The 20,669-nt window shown below is 36.9% G+C and overlaps 1 long non-coding RNA gene across 2 annotated transcripts; it reads left to right on the top strand.

Moving 5' to 3' along the window:
- The first annotated feature begins 3,584 nt into the window (after positions 1-3,584).
- Positions 3,585-19,040, top strand: LOC105370338 (uncharacterized). Of its 2 annotated transcripts, none has more exons than XR_931687.1 (3): positions 3,585-3,705; positions 9,627-9,747; positions 17,720-19,040. It is a non-coding gene; the product is annotated as an uncharacterized LOC105370338 (long non-coding RNA). The 2 variants fall into 2 exon arrangements; XR_931686.1 differs by lacking the exon at positions 3,585-3,705 and adding an exon at positions 8,694-8,735.
- Positions 19,041-20,669: the final 1,629 nt, after the last annotated feature.

The raw sequence follows: 20,669 nt of genomic DNA on the forward strand, positions 1-20,669 counted from the left end.
TCACTGTGTTAGCCAGGATGGTCCCCATTTCCTGACATCGTGATCCACCCGCCTTGGCCTCCCAAAGTGCTGGGATTACAGGAGTGAGCCACCATGCCCGGCTTATTAAATATGTTTAATCTGATGAAGAAACAGCATCTTTGTGTACGTAAGTGTCTTATTCAAAGTCACATCATTGATCACAGTTAGGTCTAAGGTTTGAATCCAGAAATCCTGGATGTAGGTCAGATATTTTCTCTAATACATCATAGCTCCCTTTCTGGTTCTTTCCAAGGCATCTAAATCTGTGAATAATCATTCATTTCTATGTATTTGTCATTATATGCATGAAGGAGAGATACTTGCAATTTTTTTGTATCTTAGTCACAAGATCAGAATTATTTTAGGATATTGAGCCAAGTCATACTACAAAGAATAAACAATTCACATTTTTAATTTTGTACAGGTAGGCAGTTTGATGCAATGGAAATTCATGGCTTTGAGTCACAGAGGTCTTTCCTTGTGGTTTTGAGAAAACCACTTAACTTATCTGAACCTCAATATCCTGACTTCTAAAATAGAAATAAACAGGTCAGTATGAGAATTACTCAAGAACATGGCTGTCAAATGCATGTCATTTATGAACATAAGCATTGACTTCCTTCTTATCTACATCCCATCCCATGTGCCCTAGTGGGTCATTCTTGTCTTCTGAAAGTAAAGGGATCTATTTCTCGTACACTTAATATGCATTCCACCTTGGGCTATTATGCTTTTATTTATTTCTTCCTGTTCTTTGTCCAGTTTCCTGTATAGTTAAAATGGTTCGAGCTGCTTTCTCCTTTATTGTTTCTTCCATGCTGTAATGCTGGGTGGGGCCTGAGTTGGGCCTATAGCCCAAGGAAAATCCAGCCTGCTCGCCTGCTCATCTCCTTCAACTCCCATATCTAAGACAGGTCTTTGTGTTCTCTCAGCAGCCCGTGGTGACATGAGTGAGTGCCTCTGTACACGCTGCACTGTCTCTCTGGTTATCATCTGACAGTCAGCCTTCCCATCGCTCTTCCTGTCTTTACAGTTCTAGTGAACGGAAACTTGTTAACCTTGACAGTGCCTCTCTTGCAGCATTAGCCATCCTGAGAGCGTCCTTCAGTTTCTGTGTGCTGGTTCTGCCCAGGAATCAAACAAGCCCATACCCAAATCAACATTTTAACATTAAATTAGAACATTTTAAGCAGTGCATTTCTTTTACAAATACAGTGAGTGTCTTCTTCCTAGAGGCCAGTCACTTTTTGCCTGTATAATTTTTCATGCCAAATTCAAAAGTTTTGAATATTGTATTACAGTGGTATTTCTTGAATGGCAATATCTCAAAGTGAGATTATTCCTGAAGGACCCATATTATTTCCTGTAATAGCATGGCGATGGGGAGGCCTAAATAAATGTGTTAGCAGCAGCATATTCTCAGACCACCCTGAGCATGCAGTGAAGTGAAAAAATCTAGAGTCCACCCACAAGATCACTCCTAAACAAAACATCCGGAAGGTTACCTGAGCAGCTAACATTCATTCATAGTTCAACATATTCTTATTAAGTGACTACTGTGTGCTAGACATTCTTCTAGGCACTGGGGAACATCAGTGAACAAAACAGATAAACTCTCTGCTCTCACATTCTAGAGGAGGAGACAAAGGAGCAAATAAACAATATATGATATATAGTGGTAATTGCTAGAAAGAAAAGGAAGGGAAGAGGAAGTACATTAGTTTTCTAGGGCTGCTATAACAAATTGACGCAAACTTGGTGGCTTAAAACAGAAATTTATTTTCTCACAGTTCTGGGGGCCCAGAGTCCCAAATCAAGATGTCAACAAAGATTAATGCACCCACAACCCACTGATTTTCCACAAAGATTTTAAGAACACACGTTGGGGAAAAGACAGTCTCCTCAATAAATGGTGCTGGAAAATTGAATATCCACAATGCAGAAGAATAAGACTAGATCCCTAACTCACTGTTTACAAAAATTAACTCAAAATAGATTTAAGACTTAAATGTAAAAGATGAAACTACTAGAAGGAAATATAAGGGAAACACTTCATGACATTGGACTGGGTAAGAATTTTTTCAAAATAACACCTCAAAAGCACAGGCAATGAAAGCAAAAACAGGCAAATAAGATTATATCAAACTAAAAAGCTTTAGAACAGCAGAGAAAACTATTAACAGAGTCAAGAGACAACCTACAGAATGAGAGAAAATATTTACAAACTGTATATCTGACAAGGGGATAATATCCAAAATATACAATGAACTTAACAGCAAAAATACAAATAAACCAATTAAAAAGTAGGCAAAAGAGCTTAATAGACATTTCTTAAGAAATACAAATGGCCAAAAGCTATATGAAAAAATGTTTAATATCACTCATCAGGGAAATGCAAATCAAAACCACAATGAAATACCACCTCACTCAGAGTGGCTGTTATCAAAAAGAAAACAAGTGTTGGCAAGGATGTGGAGAAAAGAGAAGACTTACACACTCCTGGTAATGACTACAGCCATTCTGGAAAGCAGATGGAGGTTTGTCAAAAAATCAAAATAGAACTACCATATGATCCAGCAATCCCACTACTGGGTATATGTCCAAAAGAAAAATCAGAATCTCAAAGAGATATTGTCATTCCAGTGTTTATTGCAGCACTGTTCACAATAGCCAAGATATGGAATCAATCTAAGTGTCCAACAATAGATGAATGGATACAGACAATGTGGTATAGACACACAATGCAATACTATTCAGCCATAAGAAAGAACAAAATCCCATTGTTTGTACAACATGAATGTACCTGGGAACCTGGAGGACGTGTTAAGTGAAATAAGTCAGACACAAAATGATAAATAGCACATGATCTTATTTGTGGAATAATTTTTAAAAGGTTGATATCATAGAAGTGGAGAGTAGCACAGTGGTTACTAGAGACTGTGACTGGGAGGGAGGAGGAGATAATGGGAAGAGGATGGTTAATGGGTATAAAGTTACAATTACCTAGGAAGAGTAATTTTGGTGTTCTATCATAACCATAACCACAGTGGGTAACTATGGTTAACAGTCAAATATTATCTATTACAAATTAGCTAGAAGGGAAGCTTTTAAACAATCTCACCTCAAAGAAATGATAAATGCATGAGGTTATGGAAACATGACCCTGATTAGATCATTATGCAACATACATATGTATTAAAACGTACTCTATAAATATGTACAATTATGTCAATTAAAAATTAGAAAAAATATAAAAATAAAGATGTCAAGAGAGCCACGGTCCAGCCGAAGTCTGGAAGAGAGACTCCTTTTTTGCAGCCTCCCCTATCTAGTGGCTCCAGGCAGTCCTTGGCTTGTGACTACATAACTCTAATCTTTGCCTGGTCTTTGCACAGATTTCTTCTCCTGTCTCTTATGAGGACATTTGTCGTTGAATTTAGGGCCCACTTAGTTGATCCGGGATGATCTCATTTCAACATAATTATTTTTGTGAGTACCCTATTTCCAAATAAGGCCACACAAGCCATTTCCCTCTGTTTTACACTGCAGCGTTAACAAAAAGAACCCCGGGTGAGGAAGAAAGAGTCTACCTTATTTGGAACAAGGATCTTTGCAAATACACTTAATTAAGGATGCCTGGATATGGATGCATCTTTTGAAGGTCCAATATGCAACCCGTGACAGGTAGGGAGGTCAGAGTGGTGGAGCCCCAGATACTTTTAAACGGAATAATTGGGGGAAATCTGTCTGAAGAGTTCATGTACGAACACAAACATTAATTGGGGCGCTAACTCACATGCATAGCTTAAGAATGAGCACTCCAGTGGAAGAAACGGTGGGACCTTATGGTATGAAATGGACATGAGCTTGGCCTTTCTAAAAATCGCAAGGCAAAGTGAAGTCATTGAGGGGAAAGAGATGAGGGTAGAGAAGTACCTAATGGTTAGAGCATGAAGGTTTGGCAGCCCTTGTGTGGCCATGCACTGGAATGGCACAAGAATGACAGGCATGCCCATGAACTCAGCATTCCAGGTGTTCCCTGGTGCCATTTTCTGACTGAGATCACTGACTTGATATTTTCTGTCAAGAGACGCTCAAGGAGCAGCTCCTGCTCCTGGCTTCAGGAATGTTCTCTGCACTTTCTTGTCTACACTGTTTTCCTCTGTTCCATTAATTATCTGGTTGAGGGAGGAAGCAGGAACTCTTCTTTTTTCTGCTTGTCCCTTTCAGTTCACCTCTGCTGGCCTGGATCCAAATATGCTCACCAAACTGCTTCCAGTTTTCTAAGATCTTTCCTCATTTTGAGATCAGATTATCTTTACTTCTCAAGTGCAGCTGGGTCTTTTAAAGAGATGATTGTTCATTTGTCATAAATTTCAAATTTTTTGGTAACTACTAGTTATGGGGAAAGGCAGTGCTAGCTTTCAAGTCTCCCTGCTTATTTTTATGGTTTCTTAAGTAGAATGCCACTTTCATTTCTGTAACTTCCACATGTAACCACAGTGAGATTCTGGGGACTGAGCTGCATTGCTTACTCTAATATACATGGAGAATTTCAAAGACCAAAGAGTCAATCACTTGGCCTTGTGGGAGTGCTAGGAGTTGAAAGACTGTCCAGACCACACAAGCTGTTTCCCTCTGTTTTCCACTACAGGGTTAACAAAAAGGATTTACGTTGGGTGAGGAAGGAGGAGTCTGCTGGGTGATAGTCTGTCACTCAAACACCCACAGCTCCCATGAGCATAGAAGGAAGAGATGAGAAAATGTAATCTTCACCACCTGTTTGATATGTTAAGTGGAGTTGCTTTATTTTGTAGTTTCAAAATGTACCTATCCTAATTAAAATCACCCTGGGTATTAGATTAACTTGAAATAAATAATCGAAGTTGATTTATGTTTTTCTAATCAACTATGTACAGGAATAAGTGAATATTACCCTACCCCCACACCCTGCAACAACACCCTTTTTCTCTGGGCTTGGCCTGAAACCTGAGCCCTCAGATGCATTTATAACCCAGGACACTGGAAGTGAGTAGAATTAAATGCTTTATTTTTGGACTTGCACTTAGCTTTTCCTTTTTCTAAGAATACAGATGAAAATATAAAAATTATCAGCTCAACATAAATCTTCGCCTCCTAAGCCTTCAACAAAGGCAATAAAACAATTTTTTCTTTAATATATAATAGAATATTTTCAAGGAAAGGATGTTCAAAGGTGACTTTCTAAGAAAAAATATGCTCCCATTAATGACTGCTATGATCTTTGGAAACATTTTATGAAAATGTGTGTAGATTGCATATGTTTATCCAGGAGAACTATATCTATCCTTGGTCCTCTTATGATCAAGCCATCCAGCTATGGTCCCTTTTCATGACAGCAAAATTAAGCCTATGTCGTGGTGTCTCCCTGTTTTGCAACTAGGAATAAGGACTTTTGCATGTCAGATAGACTGCAGTTTATAGACAAAGAGTCACAAAACATTCTTGGAGCCACATGGGTAAAAACAGCCCTTGGGAATCTTATATTTAAAGTGGTATTGCACAAAAGTAAAACAACAGGTTATTTGATTTAGACACTGTTCTCCAAGTCAAACTTCAATACTCTATCACTTTTTATTCTACATGAGAAGAGAACTGAGCCATTTCAAAGTTTAAATACAGACTATGTAATTGTTTTCTTGATTTTTCCTATGAAAAAGAGAACTGAATACATTTTCTTCCTGAAACAAAGATGGGGACCTCAAGTGTAACTCTGAAAATGTAACAGGGGCAAATTGCAGCCACTGATAATTAGGAGACAACAATCCCTCCCCAGCCTGGCAGCCCACCCTGGCCCCAGCCTGCATAATTTAGAAGTAATGAACATTTCAGCTGGTGCAGGGAACATTCTCATCCACTAAGCAGCAGGGGAGAGGATTTGAAATTTTGCACACGATTTTATGGTGGAATTTAACAAGTCAAAGCATTAATTGGAAGGAAATATACAATTGTTCTCCAGAAGTGTCACGGGGCAGTTCTATCATTTGGTCCCTCTCACATGAAGGGAGGTCATTGTAAAAACAAGGTAAAACAAATTAGAATAAAAGAACAACAATAACAAAACAGCATAATCTTTATGCAACTGATGTTATTATCCTTTTAACTGCTGAAGCATGTTTTGGATTAAAAACGTGTATTTTTTTGAAAGAATCCACAGGTTGGTAAACATAATTTAGCAGATTCCTCTGCAAAGCCTTAAAAGGTCATTGAGAATCCCCAAATCATGATAGATTGCTGGACAGTTTGCCTTCAATGCTAGTCTGAAAGGCCTCTAACATTCTCCATCTGTTCAGTGCACACTTGAAAAGAGTCTGGAAGCCCAAACAGTAGTATGAAGTTACCTGTGATGACGCTTTCTTGTGATGGCTATTTAATTTTAACTGTGCTGTTTGGAGACCAAAAAAATGATTTTCATAAATATTTAATAGACTTTTTTTCCAAGCTGAGATACCTACACACACACACACACACACACACACACACACACAGAGAGACACACACCCATGACAGTTGGCGAGTAAAATCTATTTTCAATTCTATTTGGAATTCAGCTGAACTGTCGGGTATACTTTGGTCTGATGTACACAGGCACACTGAGATGGGAAATTTGAAGCTGTAATGGGATACATGGGTTTTTGAGCTGAAAACTTTTTAGGCAGCAGTGGTTTACTGGCATAGTCTTTAAAAACACCAATGGAAAGAAAATGAAAACGTGTTCTAAGGTGTGTAATTACCAAGAATGTACCACATATATTTGAACAATCACTGCTTATAGGCTCAGGTGCCATTATGTTGAAGACTTTAACAGCCTGCAGTTTAGACTTTTATTTTCATACTTTAATTGCATGGTTTTTTGCAGCTGTAAGACACTTTGAATTGCATGTTTTTCCTATTTGGGAATGCACTAAGGATGGGTAACTTAAGTACAAATAGCTTTAGATTCCTCTGGCAACAGGATCTTGCCTTACCTTCTTTAAATTCTTGAGCATGAATAGAAATCAAAGATCCAGACATGTTGACTAGAAGAGAAGCTTGCTCAGGAAGGAGGCCAAATTGACTAGAGTCTTCTCACTATTTACTCTAGTACTAGATTAATAGGCAACATGGCAGCTAAATATCAAGCAAGATTCTCCAAGTTCCACAGATGCTGAAAGAATTTATTTTGAATCACTGGAAGCTTGAAACACATGACTACAGGACTTTAAATGAAGGCTATGTGGGGAAATATACCTAGGTAGAGAAAAGCTTTGATTTTGCCTATGATCAATAATCTTTCAGTTTCCTAGTAACAAAATACAGTGTCTCTTTTCTGTATCTTTTGGCTCATGAAAAAATGTTTGCTTGTGAGAGGATGACATTTTATAGGAATGTTAATAAATTAACATTGCACAAATATTGGACTACTGTCAGAGCCATTGCTGTCAAGAGTTACAGTTTCTAGAAGATTGTAAGATCATTGCTTGTAAATTCACTCTTCCAGTAGAAAATAAAGGACTAGAAAATATTTATACATATTTGCTATAACATAAATTACTCAAGTGTGTATTACTGTGGGACTCTTACAAAGAAAAGAATCTGGAGAAATTGGGCCTAGAGCGCTATAATGAAGAAAGTTAGCCTTTTCTTGTTGTTTTTTAGTTGGATTTAGAAAATCTTAAACAGGGAGTAGTTTTTTAGTTGTTGTGTTTTAGTGATGGATGAAAATGTAAGGTTTTTTGAAAGTAAGTTAAACATATATATCAGAAAAAATGAGAAGTTATACATGATTAATAAAATGAGGTTAGAAGATATCTAATAAACCAGAGGAAAAAGTGTGGTTAGATACCCGTATGCATTATTACTGTCATTAGTGAGCGAATTAGTCAGTGGATTGGCTGGAAATCAAACTTGAATTAACTTAGGCAAATATTTTTGGGGGAAGTGTTGGCTAGCAGAATTAAAAACACGTAGCAGAGTCTCAGTCTCCAGTGACAATAGGGTCATGAGCACCCTGAGGATTCAATCTCTGGCTCTCATTTGGCTTCTTTCTGCATGATGGCTTTTCTCAGATTTAGCCTCTTCTGTGGTGAACAGAAACAGAAATGCCTGACATTTCCCAATGTTATCACCAGATAGAATGGAACTCCTAATTTTTGTTTCTAAATTCAAAAGTCACAGAGAAGGGTTGATTGGCTGGGACTGAATTGAGTGCATATTCCTGAACCAACCAATTCTTACCTGGGAATGGGTTCTTTTATAAGACCAGACTGGCCAATAGCCTGTCCCTAGATTAGGCCCTGTGGCTGGGGATGAGAAAATTTAAGAAAGAAGACAACTCCCAATCCAAACTCATGGTTAAAGATGGGGAAAATTATATGGCTGAGAAGAAGTGAGTGCTGTTTAGAGCAGATGAAATAGTAGGCATTTACTACTTTCACTTCGCATATGTTGAGAACTTTCTCTGAGACTAGCAGACTTAATTTTGATACAGAATTTATTCCCCCTTCAGTGCAAAACTCTTTCTTATGGAAGATGATTATTTGCTGATAATATATTTTATTTTTATTTTTTCTTTGAGACAGAGTCTCTGTCGCTCAGGCTGGAGTGCAGTGACGTGATCTTAGTTCACCAAAACCTCCCCTTCCTGGGTTCAAGTGATTCTCATGCCTCAGCCTCCCCAGTAACTGGGACTACAGGTGCGTGCCACTACACCTGGCTAATTTTTGTGTTTTTTGTAGAGATGGGGTTTTGCCATATTACCCAGGCTGGTCTCGAACTGCTGACCTCAAGTGATCCGCCTGTCTTGGCCTCCCAAAGTGCTGGGATTACAGGTGTGAGCCACTGCATCTGGCCAGTAATATTTTTTAAAAAATAAGAAACCTAAACTTTGGAAAGAATTGAGAAAAGACAATAATATAGTCTCAAAACTTAAGCAAAAAAAAAAAAAACTAAGGAATATTAACTTATTATAAATAAAACATAAAATAGTGAAATAATGAAAAATCTAAATTCCCTCCTCTTACAACACTTATATGATTGAGGCTTCACTTATCTGTGTGGGCCTTTGGGATATTAAGCGACTCGTTATAGGTATAAGATGAACTGATGTTTACAGGTGGTTTGGAGCTTGTAGCTGTTACCTGGCTGTTCAGTACTGATCCACAGAGTACTATTTCAAGGAAGACGACCAGGAGTGAATAGTAATGACTATTTTGGAGTTAGAAAAGATGGCTTTTAAAAATGTTTCAGAATGGCATTATATATAACTTAGCTATGGAAGAAAAAATTGAAGTTGATTGTTTAATAAAATATATTTGATAAAACAGAACATGTCCATAATTGTGTTAATCAATCAATGCATAATGATGTCCCTTCTTAATAGAGATTAAAAGCTTTGTTTAAGTGTGGACTAAACCAAAAATTTAAAAGGCATTTTGACAGAAGTCTTGTTTTTTGCCCAAAGTAAGCACTTCTTTAATTAGGTTCTTATTTGTTTCACTAGATGTATGGATTAAATTCTTTACAGTTAGAATATTGCATGCTCATAAATCTGAAACATAATGTTGATGTTTCAATGATATTTACAGGTCTTGAATGCAGGATGTGAAGCAGGTTCACTGTGTACTACTTACCAACTTGTTTGAGTCCATTGAGAGCAAAAGTGCTTACACACAACACATTACAGGAAGCGGGTTTTATTACTTACAGGTAGGTAGCAAAGGACAGTAGAAGCCTCCATTCCACTGGCAACAGGTCCCCAAAAGCCCATAAATCTGTCCAGGAGTCTTGAAGCCTCAACTTTGTGTGCCCCACTTGTACCACAGACAAGGGACTCTGAAGGGCAGCCTGCTCTGGGTTACATACCTGGGGGTCACAGGACTCACTGAGCTAAAGTGTTAAAGAACATCCTGTGCTAGGGGTTATCAGGGCAGAACCCAGGCTGTTCCAGCCAGCTCCTGCTATCTCAGGGTGCTGTGTTCCCAGCACGTGCTACAGTTATTCTGGAGAACTATGAGAGAGAAATAGGCAGAGAACTGAGTTGGCCCAAAGCCATTCAGAGAACTACTGCAGAGAGGGCTTATATAAATCAACTGGTCAGGGAGAAATTGCAGAATTCTTGTAAGGAAAATATATTTTCATTTTTGATCTACATTTACTTATTCAATAAATATTTATCAGACACCTGCAGTGTGTGAGGCTCTTGGTTAATGCTGTAAACAGAAAGATTCCCTGACATTAAGGAGCTATTTTAGTGACACACATACTTACATGACCATAGTATAGAAGGCTAAATGCTGTAATCCAGGTTACAGAATCTGCTGTGGGAATGCAAAAAAAGGAGAGCAAACTGATAACTGCTGACTTTTTTGTATGTGTTATTCAAAAGGTGAGTATTCAAAAAGAGATTTGCTAATGTCACGTTAATGAGATAGTACATACCTCTGAGTCAAGATAGTTAAAAAAAAAAAAAAAAAAGGAAACTTTGAATGGTAGTCCAAACTGTGATTCCATGTACCTTCAGCAATATAATCAAGTAGACATCTCATTGAGTGCTGAGAACAGAATAGAACTTAGAAGCTTAGGTGAATTTTAAAATGTTACATTCCTTAAAGCTTCTTAATTTTCCCCCTTTGTTCTTGGATTGTCACTCTATGAACAAGACTTAAGTAGATATTTAATAATTGCAGTGTAACTATAAAGTATTTCTATCATAGGGACTCCATTGAAAATGTCAGTGGATACAGAGCTTTCTTCTGGTTTTAGATTTAAATAAATGATTTCAACTAACCATCTGTAGAAGAGGCCAAGCTATGATGAAGACATTCCTTATATTATGTGGACAATGGTGAAGACATTTCAAGTAACTTTCAAAATTACTTATTTGGAAAAGATTTTCTTTCTAATTAAGTGAATAGGTGGAAAGGAAAATGACTTTAGCCAGAACTATTTGATGTCATTGACAAGCAAGCATACATCTGAACATTATATTTTCAATTTTTTCTTCTTTATTAATCTTTTGTTTAGGAGAAGAGAACTGCCTGTGAATAGGCATTTATAGTTATATATGCACTATGATAATATGGAAAAAATACAAGCTGATGAAATAAGACATTTTCAAGCCTCTAATAAATTTCTTAGACAATGAGAAAAAGGAAATTCTTAGAAAAGGGTGCCTTGAGATCTAGAACCATTCTTATGTGCAATGCCAGTTCAGAGTCACACAGAACTGCATATTCATTCATGACATTCCAATTTTAAGCACAGATAATTATAGTGATAATGCAGACCATGATGTGTTTCCGGTGCTTTGTTTAAAAAAATCTTTCCATGTAATGTGTCTTAGTAGTTGAATTTATAATAATGTGCATTGCAGTTGATATAATCAGAAAAATGTCAATGACCCTAAAATAAAATGAGGAAAACAAGAATTAATAAGCAAACAATAAAGCCAGCTGGTGGTTGATGAGGTAGGATTATATGTACTGTATATTGCATATCGTGCTACATTATGTGATATATAAGAGAACAGTGCATCGTGGGTTGTCAATCAAAATGAGACAATTCCTGGGATCTGATTCATCTTTGAGCTGTTCCCACAACAGAAATGAAGCGCAAAACATCAGGGCTCTGTTCTAGATAGTAGATAGGAAATAATAATAGTTCATTTTCAGAGTTAGTGAACATAAAACTATAGAACTGGAATGGAGAGAGAGAAATGAAGCAGTCATGATAGTGTCAGGAGGCAGAGAAAGCTGGCTGGTGGGGCACCCTAGGTAGTCCAGGGAAAAGATGGCAGAGTCCACAGGGCAAATCCCCAGGGCGAGCGCTGGGTGGATTAGGGAAGTCTGCAGTAGGCTGGCTGTAGGGGGCGTGGCAGTACTTGGGATACTACTCTGCCTTTCCTGTTCCAGGTGTGCACTCTGGCTCTCTCTACTTCCTGGGAATGGCTACTCTCTTATAAGCCTGAAGAAGAGAGCTAAACTTCAAAACCTAGAAGATACCTACCTCCCCAGCTCCTAGGGGGATCTTTGCAATAGGCAAGATGCTTCAGTTTTATTCTTTGACCTTCAAATATAACCGCAAAATAAATTTTCTGAAATATGTGAATAAATTCAACAATGAAACCAAATCCTTTTATTTAGTAATAATTCAGTTTTTCATTTCAGATCTCAGTGACTTATCACAAAAGCATGATCTCAGTCATTATTCAGTGGTTATTATGGTGTCCCCTTTTATGTCTAGGTCAGATTGAATAAATGGCTCTTCATGTTGTTTTCTTGTTTATGTTTCAGACGGGCCATCTTTTTTGATACCCAATGACTCATTTTAATCCACTATCTTAAGATAGATTTAAATGTTCATACGCTGTGTGATTATGATCTATTTGTTATGCTGATGATTTTTATACAATATACACTTACTGCCTCTAACATGCAAAAGGCGGCTGGATTCTAATCCAATTTTCTCTCGTATCTGTGAGGAAAGCCTGCTTTTGGATACGTTCTGGCTGATGTTTTACCACTGCAACCCTGATCAAAGTGCAGTGTAATTTTTATTTCAATCCAATCTTTTGTGACTAAGGCAAGATTTGAGAGGGAGCAGGTCTGTCCTCATTAGTAGGAACACTCACATGAACTTTCCTCCTTGGTACGGGTGTAGATTTTGCCAATCAAAAATGGAAAGAGAACTCTGGACTGGCTACCAATTTTCTGTTTTTGGAGATTTTGCGTTTTGTACTATTAATAAGTTGAGCTATGAGGTAATAAATATGTTTAATTTTAAATGTGTGGAAACGGAAATATCCACAGCAAAAAAAAAAAAAAAAAAAAAAAAAAAAAAAAGAAATTATTACCTGTACAACTTCCAGGAAAATTCAATGACCCCCTCATGATGGAAGGTGGCTTAAACGCCCTCCATTCAGTTTGTTGTTGAGTACAACTGGGCAAATTCAAAATGAGGGATTATTTTGATTATAATTAAAAAAATTAACAAAATTGTTAACACTTTTTTACAAGATTGAATGCTGAGAAGCATTATCCTAGAGAAAATGATTTTTAATCTGGTTGAACAAGGATAGAACTACTCCTTCCTGAAAATTCCGCTGAGGTCAAACTCCATTCATCTGTGTTTCCCATGAGTCAAGCACCTGGTCGAGTGAAGGGAATAAAAACAATGAATATTTTATGTTTTTCTCAAGAGGCTAACGGTTTTATCAGAGAAATGGAACTAGCAATAGAAATGTATACAGCAAATGGAAGCAGGCAGAAGGAGCGCTAAGGTCCCAGGTGTGATAGGATGAGGGCACCCTTAGCCTCCTCTGAAGGATGATTCCAAGATGGGTGGAGGGACCTCTGGAGGAGGAATCCTGAGGGGCATCTGAAAGCTGGGGAGCACGTTAAGACCTAGAGGAAGAAAGCGTGATGGGAAAGGCACAGGACCAAGAGCCACGGCCCGTGGGAGCGGGAGGACTCTGCTTTTGAAATCACGAGTGCGGAAGTAGCAGATAAGGCTAGACTGAAGCGTGTGTCAGCCGGTGAAGGTCCCTGTGTACCATCTGCGAGCAACTGATGAACTCCAAGGAGGAGCGTGACATGATTAGATTTGTATTTTGGAAAAAAAGTATTGCTGGTGTTTTTAGAAAAGCCGAGCTTCAAAGGGGGAAAAAAAGTGGAGTTAGGGTCCAAGTGAAGAAGGCTTGGATTTCAGTAGCGTAATGAAGGAAGAGGTCATGACATGTTTTATTTAAAAAAAAAAAACTGTGTGGTAACAACAAGTCCTGCCATTGAGTAGAGGCTGGGTAGGGGAAATGAATAATAATTAATGATCGTATTAACAACGATAGCTGAGAATAATTTGCTTTTTTTTAAGCTCCAGAATAAACGGGATGAAGTGGAGAATACATGTGTTTCTTTATTCATTCATTTACTTATTTATCTGTTCATTTGTTTTGTCATTTCGAGCTTATGATCTAGTGAGGGAGACTGATAAGTGGTTTAGTTATTACAACACATTTAAAATTACAAAACATTTATACCAAGATTCTGTAAGATCACAGAGAAGTAGCCCTTACAGAACAGATGCTTTAAAAGGTTCTACATGAGATCTTGTTTAATAAGTAAACATGTTCCTATATCATTACAGCAATTGGCATTTGGTTAATAAAATATGCCATATAGATAGCTGTAATTATTTAAAGGGACAAGAATTAAAGGCTGATAACAATTGAAATAAATGTAAGAAATGTTCATCTAGAGGTGACCTATAATGCTAAAGTTTTAAACTGACTCACTTTTTCTGGACTCAAACAAACACCTGCCCGTGCACATGCCTAAGATTTATCTTTGTCACCTACGTCCCATCAGACACTTGAGGAGTTTCATCAATGTCAGCCAAGAACCATTTGTAACATTGAATGAATACAACTTTGAAGCTATATCTCATGTAATTCCATTTTTGCCGAGCTGGAAATGTGCACAGTGTAGATGGTAGAGCTCTATTATGGGATGTACAGGGTGACTGCAAACAGGGCAGCAAAGAAATTCTCTGAGGATATCCCAGAAGCGAATTGCCTGCAATGCAGCAGAGCCCTTGGCTGTTGCAAAACAAAAGAAGCAAACAGATCAACCTTAGGTACAGCAAGCAGAGATGGGGCAATAAATAGGTTGCTATGAATTGAAGAAATAGAAAAGTATAGTCACGACTGGGCTGACTGTGTGTAGGCTTCAGGATAAAATATATCCTGACCATGGCTATGTTAAAATCTTAATATAGTTGCATCTGTTTAAATCACTGTTTTGAAATGGTGCTCACATTCTGTTTGTAGGGTGTAAAGGAGTTTTAAAAGTTAAGACAGTTTGCAATAAAGCAAGATTCAAACCACTGTAGTTTCTTAGGGGCATTTGGGGTCCTCAGCCACTTTTCAAAAGTGTACTGTAGAATTCTACAGTACTATGTATATGATAAAAATTGGCCCTGGACAGAGAAAGAGAGAAAGAAAACACTTTATTTCTCCTCTGAAATTTTTGGGATAACTCTGATTGGAATAAACCTGAAAATTAAATGAATAAAGCAAGACAAAATTTGCTGGCAGAAGCTGTTTGTTTGCGGTGGCTCTGTGGCAGCCTGAAATGAATTCTCACAGAGGCCCTCTGCTTCTGGTGTTCCTTCTAGCTTTGTCACCACCAGCTCTGGGACTCTGGTGATTTATCAGCATCTCTAGGCTTCAGTTCTTTCATCTGTAAAATGGGGATGGGAAACTACCATCTTATTGGCGCAGTAAGGTTTAAATGAATTATTACATGCCTGGCACATCATAAACATGACGTAAGTGTTTGTTACTCTTACTATATATACAGTAAAAGCAGTTAGCAAATTTAACTGTTCCATCCAGCTTTACAGCTTAGCAGTGTTCTGTATGGCAGAATTTTTGTCTGTGCTATTTCCAAATAACAGAAAATTCCATAGTGTGCCAGAATGAGCTGATATTTTTGGATAAGTGATCCAGATAAGACTGAAATTGTATAAATAAGTAAATAAGTAGTCAGTGATGAGTTTGCGGTTGAGAGCATGAGCTTCCAGGAAGTTAGGAAGGGGCCTTATTTGCCACCTTGTTCCTTATGAATCTCTGCTATGTATAAGTGGTGGAAGAAAATGAATTATGCTTACCATGTGCATTTCAGGGTAAAATAAATGCATTTTAGTTTTAGGAAATACATAATAATGTAAAGACTTTTAATACAAAGCTCATATGTTTTTTTTCAACAACTGAAAATTCCTTGGCAGAGATGCAAGTGTGCCATTATATTGTGAGTTTTATCTTCTGGTATAAAAACTATGAGTTTTTACATAGATACAATCAGAACATTTTCATAAAGGAAAAGAAAAACAAAAAGTGCATTAAGCTAGCCATTAATATAGTGTTCGTGTCTACTCATTTTTTTTCTTCTAAAACAAATAATCCATTTTAGAGCCTGTGGCTATCCGACCAAAGGGGTTCATTATCCCATGATTACTATGGGAATTTGAACAGCTCCATAAATCCAGGTACTGAAATGTGTCATATCATGAAAGTGATTTCAGGAGTAAGAGATTGTTTTCTGCATATTGTGTCTGGCTTGTATTTGTAGAACAGGCATTTACAATGGTCATTTAGGAACGTATATCTTCATTGGTGATATCCATTAAGAAAAACGAAAAGGATTTCTTTTATCACCTAATCACCCAATCACCCCACTGATAAACAGAGATGTTGTCTGAAATAAGTTATTAGAATGATGTTTTATATTTTGTTACTTTATTTCTCTGCTCTTTTATGATTTTCAGTAGAGAGGACTAAGTTGGGACAAGCAAGCAAAACATGAAATTTGGAACGTGCCTCTAGTCTTCACTTAAAAATGAGTCTGGATTTAATGGAAAAATTTTATTAGGTATTTTTAAGATATGTTTTAGATTTCCCATTATTTTGATAAATTGCAGTTCCAGCTTTTATAATAATCAGGTTCTGATTTCTCAGTATTGTTAAGAGGATAACTATGTAGAGAGCAGAAGTCTGCATTTTTTAAGAGATTTTACAAGACAAAGGGAACTTTTTTTTTTTGCTTGTTTGTTTATTACAAGGCAATGTTTCATCCAGCTTTAGATTTCAGATTCTAAATGAGGTGGCAATTTCCCATTATTCTTGTGATCTAATCTGCAATGAGGCTGTCATTGACTATTATAATAGTCTCTATCCATGTTGAAATAAAAATCCCTAGTGTCTCTACCTTTTAGACATTAACAAAGACACATCCTTTTTATTTGTAGCAATTATCACAGTTGTTACATGATATTATAATTTTTATGTTATATAAAATTATATTTTTATATTGTTACAAATATGCGTTTAATTATAAATACTCATTTTGCTCATTACAATGAAAAATCAATGAGTGGAGAGCTGTGTCCCATTTTGCTAACCATTATTAACCCAACACATAACACACACACACACACACACACACACACACACACACACACACACAAACACATAGACAGAAACATTTCTTGAAATAATGACTGACTGACTAACTAAATGAATGAAATGCATTGTGCCGAAAAATTGAGGGGGATTTTTCTACAAACCAAAAAAAAAACATTGGGAATCATGTACAACACTCTCTTTTATAAAAAGTTTCCTATGTCGGGTAGTAAAGTGACCTAAAGGAATAAACCTCATTCCTAGAAGTAGCATATGCATATAAAAAAATCCATTTCAAACGATTATAAGTAAGAGTAGTGCATTTTTAAGAAAAAAGGGCTAAAATTCAGCAAGAGTTTTTTTTTTTTCTAATGGACACACACAATTCCTTAAAGTGTTGATGTCCCATGCTTAGCATAACTTCTTAGCCTGATATCATACCACCTTAAAAGCCATCATCTTTCTGAATGGCTTTTAAGTTACCACCTCACCAATCTTCTCTGTTCCTCGGCTCCTGTAATAACAGGGTTATGGAAATTAGTGTTTTATGCTTCCAAGTGTGCAAAGATATTGAACATGCCATGATGGTGAGGAAGCATATGTTTAAGGTAGCTGTTACAAGTTCAAGATGTTAGCAAATGATTATGGTTGCAATAACATTGCTTTTCTGTACTGTGTCTCATGACATTTAACTAACTGCCTTCTTTCTTTTGACTGTTTCAGTGCTCCTGGAAATTATTCTAGAGGACTGCGTATTTAGAGACCAAAACTGGATTTCTTTAAAATAATTTAGTCTATGACAACGTCACTGGACTCAGATTTCCTTTTACTGTATTTCTCAAGGAAACATTATCATTTTGTGATTCAAATTGTTTGTCTAGGATTTGCCTTTATTATTCCTTTATTTTTTTTTAATCTAGAGATATATTACATATGAATTTTGAAACTGTTTACATTTTGTTCTCTTAAAGTTTTTACTTTAAAAAATCTCAACCAAGAATAGGGTTTACAAAAGTGAGAGACCAGTTTGCAACACATAGCTAGAAATACAGGAAACAGAGTGAGCACGCTGTAGTGAAATCTCAAATCCTCAGGGAATGAAGCTGGCAATTTTGTCTTCGGAATGACTCTTCCTATGGGGCTTAATCCTATCAGCAAAGGTGTCTTACAGATGAAAGCCCTACAGGAAGAAAGAGCAAAACCACTTTGCAGTGATATTTGTCTGAACTTCCCTGTAAGTATTAAGGATTTTGAGAGTTTCCCCATAGTGAATGCCTTGGGTAGCTGAGGGAGGAGGCTGAATTCCCCATTCCTCCGTGTTGCCTTTTATAACCATAGTAATGCTCTCTAGTCTCATATGGCATTGAGTGCTGAGGCATAGTCACTATTACTGTGTTATGGCACTAGGTCCCATAACAATCCATGAACATTCCAGTATGCATTGATAGGGGTGGAGAGTATGAGTGAACCCCTTAGTTCACTCAGCATCTAGTAAGCATTTACTGTGTTCAGTTACCCACCACAAAGAAGTATAAAGCTGGCTGTTGTCCTCAGGTATTTTATAGACACTAGTATCCACTTTTGCATGAATGATACCAGGCATTGGTATTGTAATGTTTATGCTAAACCCCTATTTCAGCCTTAACTTACATTTCTAAGTAAAAAACCTGAAATTACTTATAACAGCAACAAAACTATAACTAAAATGGGAATAACAGTAAAAATAAATAGTGTTTAGCACTTACCAATAAATATTTAGCAACCATGTAAGTGTTTTTTTAATATCAGGTAGTTTCATATTATTCCATTTTATAGCTCAGGAAACTCAACCCTAGAGAAATTATATAACTCACCTAGAGAGACACAGGTAGTGCACAGCAGAGCTGAAATGTTAGTCTTTGTCAGGTGGGCTCAGGGCCAGAATGATTGGTCTGGCTGTGTGATCTTGGGGAAATTGATTGATTGGTTGATTTATGAGACCGAGTCTAGCTCTGCTGCACAGGCTGGAATGCGGTCGCATAATCTTGGCTCACTGTGACCTCCGCCTCCCAGGCTCAAGCGATGATATGAATAAATTATTTTTTGATATTTAGGAGACTTTCTCGGTGTTTTTTTCTTGTCTGTAAGGAGAAATACAGGAGGAAGCATTATGGAAAAGGAACGCTGCTAAATAGCTTAATGATGACCAAAGATCAATCAAAAAGAGAATGAAAGTCAGGAGGCTTAGCTCTGATTTTCTGTTTGAAATCTGGGCTGAAATTGATTTTGAAAGTTGTGTGTACATTGGAATCGTCCAGTGGTTAGATGCTATAGGTAACTGCTAACTTGTAATTTGAGTGTCACTTGGATATCTTTCAGCCTACTCACTAATCTCTCCCCTGTTGTTTCCACTGGGGGTAATTGCATTATTATAGATTTATTTCTTTAGCTTAAGAGATTGTCCAAAAAAAAGGAAGGTTAATAACTTGGTTAGAGGGGGTTGTTAGAGGAGGGAGTCATATATTTTATATATATGTAAAGTATATTATATATTCATATGCATATCTGGGTATATATTTGGATATATGTGTGCATGTATGTGTGTGTGCATATTTGTGTATATATGTGTACACACATATATGTATGTGTATATATATATGTATATAGGTATATATGTGTGTGTGTGTGTGTGTGTGTATATATATATATCCTAATTCCAAAAAATATTTATTATGGTATATACATGACAAAGGAACACAAACACAAATTAAAAATGAGGCAAAAGAAGATGGAAATCAAAATAAATTTAGTTAATTACTCAAGATCTTCAAAATAATAGAAATATCTCCTGAGGTTTTTCATTTAAAAAAGAATAAAACATTGTGATGCAATTAACACCATTCTGGACAACAAGTTCCCACAAGACATAACAATTGTGCATCACTGGGCTCTTCGAGTGGCTTTCCATCTAGGCTGATGAGGTCATAGCAAGAGCAACTCACTCAAAAGCAGTTCTGCAGAGGGCCATTGCGGTGTTAGGGAGGTTCTGAAGTCTTTGCTGATGCATTATTCAGTCACTGCCATTTTTGTTGAGAACTAATTGGAAGAATGGGTAGACCAGATGTCTTCTGAGAAATCTATCTTGGATAAAATATTTGCTGATTGAATTATTAAGGTTCATAGATTAACTCTGTACATTTTCATGTTGCCCTGGCAGGAACTGGGGAATGAACATAGTTGCTATATTTTCATAAAACTGAGGAGCTCACTAAGGACACAAGTCTACTTAGAAAGTTATCTATGATTGTTCAAGGTTATCTCATAGTCCATAGTCTTCTAACTAGCCCAGGATTCTGGTTAAATGTTTATTTGAAACTTGCTCTATTGAACAGATAAATTAGTGGCAGAAGTCCAAAGATTTTACTCTACATGGCATGGATAAAATAGTTTCAGCCTGAAAACACTTCAAGGTACATGCAAACTGATACTCCTCATGGCCCCACTAAATATCTTCAATGTTACTTTGAAAATGGTTGAAAAATTAATACTAAAGTAACAAAATATTCCCTCGTTAAATGGGATCCTTATTTATAAGCTGTCTGAAGTGGGGAATGTTTACCAATAATTTTATTCCTAGAATATTTGATGCTTAGCTATTTTAATTTGTAATTAATTTGGTAGCAGGATAATTTAT

Source organism: Homo sapiens, chromosome 13 (genome assembly GCF_000001405.40).
Source record: "Homo sapiens chromosome 13, GRCh38.p14 Primary Assembly".
Taxonomy (NCBI): Eukaryota; Metazoa; Chordata; class Mammalia; order Primates; family Hominidae; genus Homo; species Homo sapiens.